The sequence below is a fragment of the Homo sapiens genome, chromosome 3 (genome assembly GCF_000001405.40).
Source record: "Homo sapiens chromosome 3, GRCh38.p14 Primary Assembly".
In the NCBI taxonomy this organism is placed as follows: domain Eukaryota; kingdom Metazoa; phylum Chordata; class Mammalia; order Primates; family Hominidae; genus Homo; species Homo sapiens.
This window is the reverse complement of record NC_000003.12, coordinates 158,767,104-158,784,809: the sequence shown is the minus strand read 5'-3', so window position 1 is coordinate 158,784,809 and position 17,706 is coordinate 158,767,104. Positions and strand designations below refer to the sequence as shown.

The window sequence follows — 17,706 nt, the reverse complement described above, 5'->3', positions numbered from 1 at the left end:
TGTGGCTCCCAAGGCCTACCAGATTTTGTTAAACATTCCTGCCTGGCTCAAGGATTATCCAAGTTCTAGCCTGGCCCTATCACTAACTTCTGTGTCATCTTGTACAAATCAGCTTCACCTTCCTAGGTATCAATTTCTTTATTTGTAAAATGAAGGAGTTTAACTAGGTCTCTAGATTCCTTCCAGTTTTGAAATTACATGATGCAAAGACAATGGTTGCTAAACCCCTATTAGTAAAGCAGTTTTGAGCACACAGCTCTAAAACATGTATATTTATTTAGTTTCAAAAGGTATACATCTACCACAGTACCAGTATCTTATAGTAATGATCAGGCATGCAGACATACACACCCATTCACACACATGTGAAAATTATAAAAGATGACAGTCTTAAATGAAATAAACAATATTATACATTTCTTAATTGAGGTATTCCATACAGCAATATCAATATCTCAAGCCACAACATAGACTTTGTCAATAAGGATAGTGAAGCAAATCCATTTTTCAGACACTATCCTTAATAATAAAGTTTTAATTTGTTGGTGTTTGTTGTTGGGTTGTTGCTGTTTTCTTTTATTCTCATGCTTGGAGAAAGAGGCCTACTTGCCTAACCACTCTCTTGTTCATTTGTCCCTGCCATAATATTTAGCTGAGGGTCAATAAGTAACATTTGGTTGGGTGCAGTGGCTCATACCTGTAATCCCAGCACTTTGGGAGGCCAAGGCAAGCAGATCACTGGAGGTCAGGAGTTCAAGACCAGCCTGGTCAACATGGCAAGAACCCATTTCTACTAAAAGTACAAAAATTAGCTAGGCATCGTGGTGCATGCCTGGAATCCCAGCTTCTTGGCAAGTAGAGGCAGGAAAATCTTTTGAACCCGGGGGAATGGAGATTACAGTGAGGTGAGATCACACCATTGCACTCCAGCCTAGGCAACAAAATAAATAAATAAATAACACTTTTCCCTTATTCACTTGAGTTCAAAGACAAAGGAGTCAGAGAGATGGAGATCAAATTGATAGGCTAAGGCATTACACTAAATATGCTTATGTACAGAAAAGACTTACACAGCAGGCCTAAGCTGCTATCCTTGAAAAGACCAGCTTCCAAGGCTGGCTCTTGTCTGGCATCTGGGAACTTAGATTTGGGGAGGATTCCCTCCATTAGTAGATAAGAGTGGCTCATTGTGCCTGAACTATTTGTACAAATAATATGGTTTATGCTGACCACCTGCTTTCCTTCTGGGAGCCAGGAATTTGGGTATGTGCTAGATAGAAAGTACTATGTCATCACCCCCAATGAAAACCCTGGGCACGAGTCTCTAATGAGCTTCACTGGTTGGTAGCATTTCATACATGTTGTCGCAGCTTGTTGCTTGGGGAGTTAAGGGTGTCCTGTGTGACTCAACTGGGAAAAGACCCTTAGAAGCTTGTACCTTGTTTCCTCCAGACTTCAGTCCATGTGCCTTTTCCCTTTGCTGATTTGGCTGTGTATCCTTTCTCAGTAATAAATTGTAATCATGAGTATGATTTATGCAGAGTCCTGTGAGTCCTCCTAGAGAATCACTGAACCTGGGAGTGGCCTTGGAGACCTTGTGTCACAGCCTGGTAACACGCTCCCTAAAATAAACCAACCCCAAACAGCAGACCTCCTTCTGTTGAGGTATTTAAAAAGAAATTGCTCTTGTCAAACTTTCCATTTATTTTTGAAAACAAATATAAACCCACATACAATATCTTAAGAACAGTAGCAAGAAACACATTAGCTAGTCAAAGAAAGGCAATACAAATTTATACCTTTGGCCCATGCAGATTTTGTCTTTCCATGACTTCTGGGCTTACCATGCACACACAAGGTAAACACAATAAATGTTCATAAATTAATACACATTTGGCACGTGCAAAATAAATATTATGTATTTTCCAACATTTTTGGCATTTTCTTCTCAAATGTTTACTAAAACACTCAAACTGGCATTAGGGAAATTTGGTGGTTCTTTTAATCATGCTGCCAACTATGTCATAGTTGAACTAGGCGCGTTTTTGTCCATATTTGCTCTAACACTGTCTAAAAATAAATATTCCTCACTCATTACCATGGACTCATAATTATAAATAATCTTGTCCTGTTAAAAAATTACTTAGAATTTAGACTCTCTTATTTTGATTTATATTGAAGTAGTTCTTGAATCAGTCAAATTATGCCACCCTAGTTGTAACTACCCTGGTGAAACAAGCATGAGACAGACAATCCACATAAAAGTAAACAGACTTCAAGGGAATTATGCTGAGTGAAAAAAAAAAGAGTCACTCTCAAAAGGTTACAGACTATGTGATTCCATTTACATTGCATTCTTGAAATAACAAAATTATACAGATGGAAAACAGATTAGTGGTTTCTGGAGTTGGAGATTGGGAGAAGAAGGTGGGTGTAAAAAATAAACAGAATATGATTATTAATCAGGAGTGTACAAAAATGAAATCCTATATATCATTTATTTTTTAAATATTTATCTTTATACACTTGATCTTTTTCATTTTCAACCACATACAGTTTTCACCTTGAAGGTGACCTTGCTGAGTGGAAAACATAATATCTTTAATACATGAGTTAAATCTAAGATGATGTTCAAATGGACTGCAGGTAACTGTTTATGTCAATAATAAATACAGCAGATTACTTTTAAAACCCATACTTTGGACTTTTTATTACAGATGCAGTTGCTGACTTACCATAAATCAATGTGCTTAAAGTGCCATATGATGTCAAATATTTAGCTTAACAGCATAAAATTGAACAGAAACTGTAAAACATGTTTTATAGGTGCTATAAAACCCTGGGGCTTGAGGTCCTGCTTTTTTGCATTACTCTGATCCATCAAGTTCCTTGGAAATTCTAGACAGCCAATACACTTGGGAATCGAAAATTGGCTTTCAGAATTTTACTCACTTAGGTTATTATGACCTCCCGGACAACATCCTCTGTTTCTTAATATGAGGAGAGCACAAGGAGAGAGGCATAGGCTAGTATAGGACAGACAGAGAGTTAAAATACTTTATATCCTTTATAATTCTCTTCTGTCAATAACCCATCCTGCTGCATCTGGCCTTCCACCCACCCAACAAAAAATGGGTGAAAAGAGGCTAATTGATAAGGCAAGATGGTAGTCATTGTTTACCTTAAAATGTTTGTTTCCCATTTGGAAACATTCATCCCACAAACTGACTTACTGCTCTGAGTTAAGCACTGTTTTGTGGTTCAGAAATGGACAATACAGAATAGAGACAATGAGGACATAAAGATGGAGAGAAATGGGCGGATGTGAGGGGCCTTTAGGTGATGGAGGCAATCATATAAGGTGATGAAAAAGGATAAGAAAGAGAGGAGGCAAAGATGACACCGAGGTTCTTGGCTTGACCACTGCATAGATGGTGGTGCTGTTCCCTGAAATGGAGTATGGAGAAGAGCCAGGGGCAGGGAGAAAGGGCAGATACATTGAATTTAAGGCATCAGTGGGTCTTCCTAGTGGAAATTTCCAGTAGCAACTGGTTATATGAGTCTGGAGCTCAAGACCAGAAGGTAAATTTAAAGAGTTAATTGTGGTAAACACCACTGGTTTCTTACCACAAAGTATAACATTCCAAAATATCACTTTCTTGCTACCAAAACCATCTCTTACTATAGAGGATTAAAATACCATCTACTCATTTTCTCAGTCCTTGCAGCCAGGACATGTGACCTGATTCTGAGAAATGGCCCCATAGAAGTTTGATAAGGAGGTTTTGAAATGCTTTCCTTCCCGATGAAAAGAACTATGTGAGAAGAAAACTACTTTTTTTTTTCCATCTTGGACATAGTTGTATGAAGTGTGATGCCTGGAGTTATGACAGCCATCTTGCAACCATGAGAAGATAAGGCTGTGGATGAAAACCAATATACCAAGAATGGTTGTGTTAAAAGATGAAAAGAGCTTGGGTCTTGAATGTCATCACTGAACACTTCACCAGTTTTCAAACAGCCCTATTTCTGAACTCTTGTGATGTGAGATTACTAATGTCCTCATTATTTAAGCTACATTAGTAGTTGGATTTCTTGTCACATGTAGCTGAAAATATCCTAGCTAATACATCAACAAATAAATGAGTAAATAATAAAATTTTTAATTAAAAAGAAAAATTGAGCTCTATACATATTGTATGCATGTATCAAAATCTCACTTGTACTCTATAAATATGTTCAACTATTATGGATCCATTTTTTAAACATACAAATTTGAACTCTTTTTTTTTCTTTTTATGTTTCTGCCAGCAGGAAGTCAAAATCTGAACTCTTTTTGTGTTTATATGCATCCGTTTTTTAAATGACCTGATGAAATTAAAACTGTTGAGAAAAATTAAAAAAAAAAAAGAAATGAGTGGGCCGGGCGCAGTGGCTCACGCCTGTAATCCCAGCACTTTGGGAGGCAGAGGCAGATGGATCATGAGATCAGGAGATCGAGACCAACCTGACTAATATGGTGAAGCCCCGTCTCTACTAAAAATACAAAAAATTAGCCAGGCATGGTGGCGGGTGCCTGTAGTACCAGCTACTTGGGAGGCTGAGACAGGAGAATGGCGTGAACCTGGGAGGCAGAGCTTGCGGTGAGCTGAGATCACGCCACTGCACTCCAGCCTGGATGACACAGCAAGACCCCATCTCAAAAAAAAAAAAAAAAAAAAGAAAGGAGTAAATAGAAAATGAAAGTAGAGGATACAAACCTCTTGGAAAAGAGACCCAAGAGACGGCATGTAACTAGAAATGGCAGGAGAGACAAAAGATATATTCTGAGGAGAAACAGAAAGAGTGATAGCAAACATGCCAAAACATGTGAAGGTGATATTCCACAGGAGGTGGGTAAGGGTAGCTAGGAGCTGGGAGTATTAGCTTTAGAAACACAGAAGTAAAAACTCCTCCTTTAAAATCAAAAAGAGGCCGGGCGTGGTGGCTCACACTTGTAATCCCAGCACTTTGGGAGGCCAAGGTGGGTGGATCATTTGAGGTCAGGAGTTTGAGACCAGCCTGGCCAACATGGTGAAACCCCGTCTGTACTAAAAATACAAAAATTAGCCGGGCATGGTGGTGCTTGCCTGTAACCCCAGATACTCGGGAGGCTGAGGCACAAGAATCACTTGAACCTGGGAGATGGAGGTTGCAATAAGCCAAGATGGCGCCACTACACTCCAGTCCAGGTGACAGAGTGAGACCCTATCTCAATAAATAAATAAATAAAATCAAAAAGAAAGCCAGGAAGAGGAAAGATGATAGAACAGGTATCAGATAATACCAGTTTCTTTTACTAAACTCATCCAAGGATTACAGTAAATTAAGCAATTAAATAATGAGTGATGCTTAATTTTGACTTCAGAATGTCAATAGCATGACTTCTTCTCAAAGGACAGACGTATCTGTAAGTGTAAGAAAATTGGGAAACATGGCTACATTTGGAGCCAAGGAAGTTTTACTATACAATATTTAGAATAACTGACATTATTTCTCTTTTCTGTTGTTGAAAATGCAGCCCCTTCCATTATAAAACCATGTATCTCATGGAATGTGATTTTCCATCTCTATTTATCTCTATTTATCCTTCCAGCCCATTCATTTCTAAGCTTAAACTATCTATTGCTCACCCTGAGCACTTGGAGAATGTTACTTTTCCTCTTCAACTGATGGAATCCAGAACTGAAGGTAGCCAGAGATTAGCAATGAGGAAATGGAAGCAGACAGTAATGAAGTCTATGGCAAGTTAGTGAAGGTGTAAAACAGAATAATAAAAAATATTTTATTAATCAAAAAAGGTAAGAAAAAAAGGAAACATAAAACAAACAGGTCTACATATAGAAACCAATGGTAGACAGTAGAAATAAACTCAACTGTATCAGTTTTAGTATAAACTAACTAAATAACCCAAGTAAAAAGCCAAGACTGTAATACTGGATAAAAATATATGTTGCTTACAACAACCACATTTTAAGTATAAGAAATAGATTGAATGTGAGAGGATAGAAAAAGAGTCACCATGTAAATATTCACCACAAGGGAGCTGAGGTAGCTATCCTAATATCAGACAAAAGAGATTGTAATGCAAGAAGTGTTACCAAACATAAAGAGGGGCACTTTATGTGATCAGGACTGAATCCAACAGAAAGATATCACAGTCCTAAATCCAAACACACTCAATAACATAGCTTCAAAATACAAAAAGTAAGAAATTGACAGATCTAAATTCCACTGAGATTGGGAGGCCAAAGCAGGCGTATCACTTGAGGTCAGGAGTTTCAGACCAGCCTGGCCAACATGGTGAAACCCCATCTCTACCAAAATTACAAAAAATGAACTGGGCTTGGTGGTGCATGCCTGTAATCCCAGCTTCTCAAGAGGCTGAAGCAGGAGAATCACTTGAATCTGGGAGGCGGAGGTTGCAGTGAGCCGAGATCATGCCACTGCACTCCAGCCGGGGCAACAGAGAGACACTCCATCTCAAAAATAAATAAACAAATTCCACTGAGGGAAGTCATTGATAGAATTCAAGACAAGTCTGAAGAGTGAAACACTACTAATTCTGAACTCATTATCACAAAGCTCCTAACTTGTATGAGTCCTGACTGGCATGAAGTTGTCTCAGGGACTCAAACGGGGGCAGCAGTTTGATGGTTAGCTTCATCTAGCCCACTAGATCTCTTGCAAGGTGAGACCTCTAGAAAACATCTCCAGCACTTCATTTAAAGTATTATGGGTATATTATATCCTTAAGTAAGAAACGGTGCAGCCCATCTGCATTTTTCTAAATGAATTCCAATCAGGGTCAGCAGGACACCAGGGCCCTGTCCCAGACTTGAGATCCACCAGCTCCTGTTTTTGTCAAAAAATAAACATAATCTGGCAGCTGCATCTTGGAACCCGGCAGCTCAGGAGTCCTCATCAGACACTTAGAACAGCAAAGGTCTCCAGGATTATGGTCCAAAGGGTCATAAATATGTAGCGAATTTTAAAATGCTGGTTTCCTCCCCAGCAAGGAGTACATCACTCAGTTCTGCTGTGTCACCAGTAATATCTACCCCAAAAGCTACTATTTCAGGAGGACCATTTATCTCTCTCCATCCTGTCTGCGTAGCAGGCCATTGCCTGCCCCCACAACACTCACTGCCCCCTCTCAAAATCTCAGGCCATAATCTCTGCATTAGAATCACTTTCTCCAGAAACAGATCATTCTGCTACATTTGCCCAGCTTTAACCTTCAATTTCAAGTTTGCTTCAGAACCCACAACCCAGCAGTACACAGTGATTGTCTTTTCTTCTTCTACTGCAAGCTTTGTAGTCTAATATGTACCACAGGAAGAAAATACACAGGACAAGTTTGGTTAGTCTGAAATTTCCTTATTATCTCTAAGAGTGCTGTGGGTGGTTGAGGCACTCTGGAATGTCATGGGACTTTAGCTTACTGTAATTTACCAGTTGTGAAATATATCAGTTCCTTTTTCTTTTCTTAAAATTTTCTTTTATTAAAGAGTCAACAAATTTAGCACTTGATGGGTCCCCTTAAATGTAAATAGCCAGGTACCTTTAGAAGTCTAAAAGTAAAATGAAACTAACCAAATAGTTAGTGGCTTCTCTACCGGTGTTGGCCAAATTGGGAGAGACAGAGGACCTAGAAATTTATATCTTTCAATTATTGAATAGGAAAAATTAAAGAAATATAGCTATCATTTAATCCAGCTTCTGTCTCTCATAAAAAATGGATTCAGTGGCTTGTGCAAACCAAATGTCCCAGACCTCAGAAGCTCCAGAGACCCAAATCAGGCCCCACTTCCAGTCTGTAACACAGCCCCAGCCTGTAATGCTCCAACTTAGTTGGTCAAAAGAACTTAGTATTTTATCAGATTCTTCCCCCTCACGTCCAGCCCGCCAAATATCTCAAGGGAACCCAGGAGGTGACACGATCCACACTCCCTCCTAACAGCCACAACTGCCCCTCCAGCCCCCAGGCCTGCCCTGCAGCCTTCCCACCCTTCCCCAGGCCGCTCTCCCCAGCCCTGGCCTCCTGCGTTCCTCTTGTGCAGCTTCTCTCGGGCACAGACACAAACCTCACCGGAGTTGTGTGGGAAGATCCCAAAGCCCTTCCCAATGCCACCCTGCAGGGTACTGGGATGCATGGGGGTAGTTGTGGCCTGTGGTCCCACTCATGCCCCTGCTTCTTGTCCCTCATGTCACTTCTTTCCCAGGTGAACATGGTCCTTTTTTGCCTTCAGTCCCCAAATCCACCTGTACAAATTTGCCAGATATGGCAGGCTCTCCATGAAGGTTTTGGGATAACACAGAGGGAGCACAGCGTACCCACCAAACAGAACAACCTTGAGGTAGAATAGGGTCTGAAGGCAGGGAACCTAAGGCTGTTTCACATTGACTTCATAGAACTAAATTGAAAGGAAAACCCTAACTTTCCATGCCTAAGTAACAAAAGGACCAGAGGCTACTCCCTTTGCAAACCCCCACCTTTTCTACAGGGCAGATGGGAAACTGAAAGTATCTCTGATTGGTGCCAAGCAACCAATCAGATGTTTGCATAGGAGTGTAACTTCATAACTTCACTTCAGCCTCTGACTGGTTGCTGTCCACAGCCAATCAGACTGATTGCGGACCAAGTCTTCCTTTGCATAAAAGTGCAACTTTGTAACTTCACCTTAGCCTCTCATGCTAAAGTGAATCTTAGGAGTTTGCATAGGAGTGTGACCCTTGTAACCACTTCAGCCTCTGAGTGGAAAGCAACCAGATTGATTGCAGGCCACCACTTCATTTACATGGGTGAACACCAGGTGGCCAGTGGGAAACCTCTAGGAGGTATTTGGACCCAAGAAGATTGTGTATCAGGACCCTTGTGTCCCTATGCTCGGGCCCACCCCCACACTGTGGACAGTACTTTCATTTTCAATAAATCTCTGCTTTTGTTGCCTCACTCTTCCCTTACTTTGTTTGTGTGTTTTGCCCAATTCTTTGTTCAAGATGCCAAGAACCTGGACATGCTTCACCAACAGCAACCTGAAATTGAAAACCGCTAATCATTGTTCTTAAAAGGTCCTTGGCCATCCAAGCCCTGGGGGTTTTCTACTGGCAGCCCTGATCTCATACTCATCCCACCACCAGTCCCTGGGTCCTCCCCATCCTTCTGCTCTTATCTCCACTGCTTCTCCTTTCCCAGGCTCTTCTTCCCTCTCCAGAGCTACCCTGACATTTCAGTTTCATCTTCTTTTATTGTACTGTGTGTTTCAGCAATCTGAGTGTTACTGTCTCCCACTCATCCTCACCTTTTGAAGAAAGAACCAAAAACAAAAACAAAAAAAGTCAATATAGGCCTTTCAAGATACTCCAAAAACTTAAGAAAAAAGTGTTAAGGCTATATTACAAGACCCCAGAAAAATGATGCTCAGAAGACAAAAGCAGTAATTTTTAGTTTAAATAGTACTTTTTCTCTGGCAGTAAGTACATCAGGGAGAGTCAAGACTTCCTCTTGGAAAAGTATGCCATCTGGTTCTTGTCATACTGTTGTGCTCCTTAACTCATTTCATGCAAAATTTCCAGCACCATGTTTGAGGGACCCTGATTACTCCTCATCCATGCAGTTTCAGAGCCACAGGAGAGATGCATGTGGGTGGGCAGAAGTGGAAGTTGTTTATGAGCATGAAGTATTTCTGAGAAATGAACGCATTGATGTTGGGATTTGAAATCTGATTTATCTCTTTGATGATTACGGGAGGAAATTTTATTATAAACAATAATATTTGCTGGCATATGCATGGATGTCTGAACTCAGATGATAAAAACTAGAGGATTTTGAGCATCTTGGAAAAAAATTGTACAATTAATTTAAGATTTCTTACATGACCTAGAAAATGAAAAGGGGAAGCAAATACACTGGAAAAAAAAGAAGGTGGAGGAGGATCACATTACTCCTTCACAGTTAATTAGAAGAACTTTCAACCAAAACACATAACTGGGTAACAAATACCAGGTAATTTTCTTTGACTGAATTTTTTTTCACTTCATTTTCTTTGAAGTGAAAAAAAGTAATTTTTAAATACAGGAAATAATATTTTATGACTGAGTATTCTCTTCAAAGAATCTGGGTCAGCAGCTCATTTCAAATTTTCAGTGCCTAGAGGACGATAATACTTAGTGCTGTTTGCTGGTGATTTACAACACTTTCGTGGCTTAAGACCAAGAATATACATATTAAAAATCATGCTCTGCCTGAATCCAACAAGCAGATGCCCCACCTTCTTTTAAGGAAGAACATGACAATAATGAACGGATAATAGAGTACAAACAAAGACACTCAAACTGCATTTCCTAATGTTGCAAATGTTAATATTGAGTAACAAAGCATCATTTCTATTAAAGCTGGCCTTCAGCCACTCCCTTATGAGGTAGGTGGAAAGAAATCTTTTTACTTTCCCATAATTCTACTACTTACGGGAAAGCAAGTTGACTTTGCCCAGCATTGATGCAAAGAGCATGACACAGAGTTCAAGCCGCAGCACTGCTGCTCAGGAGAGTGGAAAAGAGAAAAGTTATTGGCACAATAGCAACCAAGTGTTTCATCTAAATGTTCTGTTTCTTGAGCTCCCAGGTAACTCAGCTTCACATCTTTTCCTTGTACAGGTCAACTCCACTTAGGTAGAATGTGAATATATAGTATGAGAGGCCAAAAACCCATACCTATATAAGCAAAATTATCTCCCCCTACTGCCAATTCATAAAAATAACACCTGCCAGAATGGAACAGAATGCTGAAAAGTCTACCTTGAAAAGATGAGCGATTTTCAAGCCAAGAAAACTTGAATGTATGAAACCCCCTAGAAAGAATGTGTCATCCAGGGGGTAATTGGCCCATCGCAGAAACATGGAAAAGAGGAAAAGGAAGACAGCAGGGCACAGTGTTCATAAGAAAGAGACACAGGATGCTTTTTAAGAAACTTGGGTGTGAAAGCAAAACAGGCAATATTTAGAAAGGAACTTTTGGTCAATGGGTGGAAATGGGTTAAAATAGGAGCCATTTGCACATAATTATATTCTAAGGGGAAGGAAGCAATAGAGAGAGCAATTGAAAATGTAAGGAAGAGAGGGAAGAACTGATGTGGGTGAGGGTGCATGTTTAGAACACAGGCTGGGAAGAGTCGGCCGCGGGAGTCACACTGCTAATAAAAGGCAGAGACCAGGGGTTTTTGGACCTGGGTGCAAATTGTGGTCTTGCCACTTTCTATCTGAGGGACCTTGTCACCCTGATGGTGAAAAACAAGCCTGTAACAGAAGAAAGGAAAGACAAGAACTGGGAGGCTGTGATAAGGGAGCTGCATATATCAGCAGTGCAGCAAGTCTGGCTGTTGACATGGTTCTTGGTGAGCCCAAGAGAGCTGACTGCTGGAAAAGAGTAGAGGAGAACATTTTCAGCCTCAGAAATATCACTGGCCTCTGATGGGAGAGATAAGTGGTCTCAGGGCCTAATGAGTGCTGGAGAATTCATTCATTCATTCAGTGAACATGACTGAGGCCTCTCACTTTGCTAGACATTTTGGAAGACAGGGGTCAAAATCACAGTTCCTACTCTCAATTAGCTCACAGCCCTGTACTAGTGATGGACAAAGAACCAGTATGTGACAGTTCAGACTAATAAGCCCAACAAGAGAGGGATATACAGGACACTGTGGGACCCCTAAAGGGAGCACCTTGTGCAGAGGTAGAAGGATAGGAATGAACGAGGGGTGACGGGTAACAGGAAGAGAGAGAAGCACCGCAGGAGTCTCTGAAGAGTGTTCACAGGGGGTGCGAGGCTTGCTGTGCAGAAACCAATAGGGGCAGGTGAGAAATGCTGACCCCAAGGGATGAGCAGGCTCATGTCAGGGTGCTACAACCGTCCCCTCCTCTTCACTCTTTCCTGCACCCCAGACTCCAAGTCTTAAACTAGGTTATCTCCCCAGTGGCCTGGCCTGCCCCCCGAATGCTCTCAAACCAGTATCTTCTAACCCTAGTCAAAAATTACCCCTTCCCTTCAGCTAGCCATTAGAATTGAAACAAATTCCCACTGCCATGTGAAAGTCTGATTATCCTACTGTTCCCAAGGCACCAGCCTTTTAGTGGGATGTTTGCTGTAGTAGATTGTATCTTCCAAAAATGGCCACAAAATGTTTCTGAGTCCACATGCTCATCCAGAAACTTTCTACTCCCTCATTAAGAGATAGAATCTATTTCCCTTCCCCTTGAAATTGGGCTGCCTTTGTGACTTCTTCAATAAAAAGAGCTGCTTGGAACCCCCACCCACAGCCCTTACCTCCCCTGCATCCATGAGCACACCCCTCTGGGACTATACTGTCTACCATTGCCTCCCTGACTTGGGACTTTGGCTCTGGAGTTCACTCCCTACCCCAAGGCCATAAAAAACCCCCACTGCACTCTTTAGTCCCTGGGCTCCAGCCACTGCCCTCTCCCCAGATTTCTCTGTTTTCTGCCATCTCTGTGGGATCCGCATAATCTGCCTCCAGCAGTTTCTGGGAGTGAACCCAGCTATCTTGCTGAAGGTAGGGTAGGGGTGGATGCAACAATGGGCTGATTGTTATCAATATGTATGGCAAGATATTATCTTGAGATATTAATCTGTGGGTTTTTCTTTGCTCACTTCCTTGTACAGTGACCAAACAGCCTCACGCAAGAGTACAGTTGGTAAAGAGGGACTGAAAAGAGCCAAAAATGTCAACGTTCATATTTGTGACTCTAAAACAGCATCCAAGAATCAAAAAAGCAAGGCTTGGGGCACAAAGCACAGAGACATGTGGACCAGGGACAGGGATATACAGACAGCCCTATCCCAGTGCCTCCAGGGAGACCAGAGTAAGGTGTGCTGGGCCGAGGGAGGGGAGGAGCACATGGTGAGGAGCAGGTCCACATTGGAAGTCTTGGGAGCCCCAGGAGCCCCTCAGCTGGTTGCATATTCCCAGAGATGTTTGCCAAGCCCTGATTACATATCCACACTCCCCTGAATGAACACACCCTCCCCATTCCAGTGTCTAAGGACTCTCATGAGCCCTGCAGATCTGTTAGGAACACTTTCAGCTCTAAGCAACAAAAGATATGATTAACAGTGCCTTAAACACTACAGGTGTATTCTTTCACACAACAAGAAGGCTGTAAGTGGGTAGTTTGTTGGTAAAAATGCAGTTTATCCAGGACCTAGCTCATGAGCTTAGGATTCAACTAGTTCTGGAATCATCCTTAGGAATCTATAATTCTGAAAACTTCCTAGGTGATTCTAATTTGCAATCAGATATGGAAGCCACTTCTCCCAAGTTTACTAAGGCTGCTGTACTCTCCCCTCTTCTGAGTTTTCGGAGTCCATTAGCTTTCAGAGGAGTCAACAGTGCTACCAGTGAACACCTGACTAATTTATTCACTCAAATGGTCAGCACACCGTAATTGCTCGCTTTTTACCTGGTAGCATCAGCTCAGTGAGGGTTGTGAACTGGGCCTAGAGACATGAGAATTCAGCAGCATTTCCAAACTGGGTAGAATTTCCACAGACTATTTCAAGTGCTTTTTTTTTTTCCATTCAAGAAAGATGGGGCAACCAGCCAAGTAAACATGGTTGTTTTTGTCTGTTTTGTGTTGCTAAAACAGAATACCTGAGACTGGGTAATTTATAAACGATGATTTATTTGGCTCATGTTCTGGAGGCTGGTGCTGGAATCTGGTGAGGGCCTTCTGGCTATGCCATTTTCTGGTGGAAGCGAAAGAGAGAGAAAACAGGGCCAAACTCATCCTTTTATCAGGAACCCACTCCCACAGTAACTAACCCACTCCCAAGATAATGGCATTAAGACTGTCCTGATGACCTCATCACCTCTTAAAGGTCCCACCTGTCAACACTGCTGCATTGAGGATTAAGTTTCCAACACATGAAACTTGAGGGACACATTTAAACCATAACAATGGTGGGCTGAACATTGTCTTTTGCCTATATTCCCACCCCCAAAATTCACTACAGTATCGAGATTTTGTTAAAGGCAAAAAACAAATAAACAAACCATCTCAAGGACAAGGCTAAAAGAGAAAGGAGCAAGTGTGGAGAGAGAGAGGTAAACACGATGTCGGAAACCGGAAAGCAGGTGGTAAATGATGAGTAACTTAGAGACCAGGCACAGGTTGCAGAGAGGAGGCAGGAAGACAACAGACTGGCCCCGGAGCACCTGGTAGGCATAGAATTGGAGGCCCCAGGAACCTCTCTGGTTGTGGGGTGTTGGTTAAAAGGCTATACTAAATACAGCTTGATCCTTTGATCGCTTCTCCACTCCCATCAGACAAGGCACCTCTCTCATCCTACAGAAGACATACCAGAGAAGGGGATAAGGGCCAAGTCAGCATGCTGAATGGCGAGAACAGCCTGCAGCCTTTCGCCACTGCATCTGAGAATCCTGGTGACTCAGCTTAGACACATGGGGCGACAGGCTACAAATTTCTTCTCTGGAGAAACTGAGCTCCTCAAAGAAAAGACTTATAAACAATGACTACTGGGGATTATAATCAAATATACATATTCAGAGAAAGCCAACACAGCACAAAAAGCAGAATAAACTTTAAGGAAAACTGTAATTAATATCTTCGGAGAAAGAATATAACTGCATCTACAAAAAAGAACAAACTACTCATAAAACAAAAATGAGCTCTCAGTTCTAAAAAAATATAAAAACAGGAAAAAAAAATCCAATAGAATCCAAACAGGCTTTACTGGGAAGGTACTGGAGGATATATTCCACAAAATGAAAGAGCAAACCAGGAAAAAGGCATACAAAGGATTCAAGAGAGAGGGATCCAACTAAGGAGAACTGAACGACACATCAGAGCAGGAAGCCAATGGGCTCCAGAGGGGATGTGTTAAAAATAAAAAATCAGTTGATTACCTGATGTGTTTGAACTATTAAGAGGAGATTAACACTGCTGGCAATGCGTTGGAGGAGAATTAGGGACAGAAAAATATCAAAACAAGATAATTTTGAACTCCAGGGAGAAAAAGAAGTTGTATAACAACGGAAGTATTATCAGTGTACACTGTGTGCCTTACCGGGGAAAACATTTATAATAATCACAACAGTTAACTTTGAGTAGTTACTTAATTAAAAAATACAATATAATTACATTGGAAGAATAGGGGAACAAAAGTGCTCAATCTTCATCTTTCATAGGAAGAAGTCAAAGTTTCTGCCTAATCTGAAAAATCAACACAGAAGCATATAATTTAGATACCTGGGGAAACATGTGGAACTTTCAACTAGCCGCGCCAGTTGAAAATGGGACTGGTTTCTCTGATGAGAATGGCTGGGTAGGAAATGGTAATCTGTCAGACCACAAGGAATTTTTCTAGTCAACAAACTCCAGATGTTTGTGATTCTTTTCCTCCTGGTTCACTGGGTTCAGCCAAAGTCCTCCCTAGAAGATTGCCAAGTGTAAGCTGTGAGGAAACACACAATGAACTTCATTTGAACTCTGTTTCATCTTTTCTTTTTTAAGCCAAAAATGTCATAACAAATAGAAAGGAGACAAAGTAGATGCAGATATGCGGGGGTATTAGTGCAGAGGGTCTATCCCTTGAGCCTTTCTTACCAACACGAAGAACTGCGAGTGGCTTCTCTACTGACCCAATGGACTGAGCATTTCCCACACATTCAAATGAATGAAAGAGTGAACGAATGAACAATAGACAAGCCCATTATTCTTCATGCATTGTGAGTGCCTAACACACATTAGGTACTACACTGTTTGGCTCCAGCACTTCTATCCGATTCACTCAGAGTTTTAACGACCTCTGTGTGTATTGTTATGTATGAAGTGGGCACCACTGATGTGCCAGGGATACTCCCCATCTTCAAAAGTATTACAATCCATTTGGGGAGGCAAAATGTGAATAAAGGAAAATTTAAACCAGTGACCACAGACAGCCGAGTTGTGGGTGCAGAGGAAGGAGCTACTGTGGGCCTGGTGTGGAGTGGACAGGCTTTCCCAACACTGGCTGCAAATCCTAGAGTATTTCCCACATATGTGTTCGTGCCGAGGATGGGAATAGGGAAGACAGTGTCACACCAACTGACACCTGTTAACAAAAGTCAGCAAAGAGCAAACGTGGTCGGCTTCCCGCAAGCATTCTCATGTTTCCCTTGGTGCTTTAACTCTAAGGCAGAGAAACAGCCATTCTCTTTCCTTCTCTGCCGGCAGGGAAGTGGGAGGGGCACTGGCCAGCTGCCTGTCCTGCTCACTCACAGTGACTGCAGAAGTCAATTGATTCCCTACTTTCCCAACTCCCGCCCCCACCACCAACCTTGGGTACTTCTTCCCATTGGAATAATGATTAAACCATTGTCCATCAGTAACTGAGAAACTGTTCCCTGATCTGGACCCCTTTTTTTGGTGTTTTCTAGTGCTGGAATTCTGTGTCTCCTCTCCTGTGTGCTCAGGAAACCACCAGGTCCAATGTCAGCCCCATTAGTCAATATCAGAGCAGCCCCTTCCTAGTTGTAGGAGGAGTATCCTAATGGAGGAGAACTCTTGGTCTCACTCTGCAATTGCTCAGACTTCCAAGTGTAGAGTCTTTACTAAAGGCATTTCTTTAGCTCTGGCTACTTTGCTTTTATTTACTCATAAAAATATCAGGAGGTGCAATACACTTTCAGTTTTATAAATATTCCTTTTTAGCAAAATGCATACTCTTTGCATTTCAACCTCTCTGACTTTGGGAAATCAGATGACTATAAGAGGAGCACAGTCTTTAAAAGGCTCTTGCATTCTGTGGGACAGTTAATTCCGGAGACTTGGCTGCTTGTGTGCATTTTGGAGTGCTCAGCTCTAACTACATGCATCTAGAACAGACGCACACAGGAGACCCTCAAAAAATATTTTTTAAACAATAAAAAATTAGGCCAGGTGCGGTGGCTTATGCCGGTAATCCCAACGCACACCTGTAGTCCCAGCTACTTGGGAGGCTGAGGCAGAAGAATCGTTTGAACCCAGGAGGCGGAGGTTGCAGTGAGCAGAGATCGTGCCACTGCACTCCAGCCTGGGTGACAGGGCAAGGCTCTGTCTCAAAATAAATAAATAAGAATAAAAAATTAAAACCTTGCACCTGATGGCTGTAAGCTTATCATACCACAATATGAGAAACTGTTGGCAATTTCTATTTTGTGTTCTGTTCACATACATTTGTCCATCCTGTGAACTTACATAGACTCCACCAATTTGTTTGAGGCTGCCCTGAGAACTTATGCTGATTAACCTAGTGGCTCTATGTTCAGGTGTAGGGAGAAAGGCCTCTCTTCTTGCTCTTTCCAAACGAAGTACTTCTTGAGATCAGCACCAGGAGGACAGGGCTCCAGCTGCCATTTTCCTTGAACCACGCAGGCCCTCTAGCATAGATTTGGCGTGTAGGAAAATCTCCATGAGTGCAGAAAGCAGCTGAAGAAGTCACAGGAGGAAGATCCCCATAAGCCCTGCCCCAAACATGCTCCATTTAAGGATTCTGTTATGGAGGCTTAACACCAACTATGTGTCAGTGGTAAATAAGACAGACAAAGCTCTGCTTTCAAGGAACCTATAGTCACATGGAGGAGCTGGAAATTGCAGGGTCCTGTGGGG

At 41.8% G+C, this 17,706-nt stretch overlaps 1 long non-coding RNA gene across 1 annotated transcript in view, besides 1 other annotated feature; it reads right to left on the bottom strand.

Moving 5' to 3' along the window:
- Positions 1-257: 257 nt before the first annotated feature.
- Positions 258-17,706, bottom strand: part of LOC100287290 (uncharacterized) — a 52,192-nt gene continuing 34,743 nt past the window's right edge. The window contains exon 5 of the long non-coding RNA NR_171782.1: positions 258-931. This is a non-coding gene — a long non-coding RNA (uncharacterized LOC100287290). The remainder of the gene's footprint in view (positions 932-17,706) is intronic.
- Positions 9,227-16,343: an enhancer, noted in NCBI's record as "VISTA enhancer hs1990". NCBI's record gives its function as "enhancer in: pancreas[4/9]" and the evidence as "EXISTENCE:transgenic organism evidence [ECO:0001131][PMID:17130149]".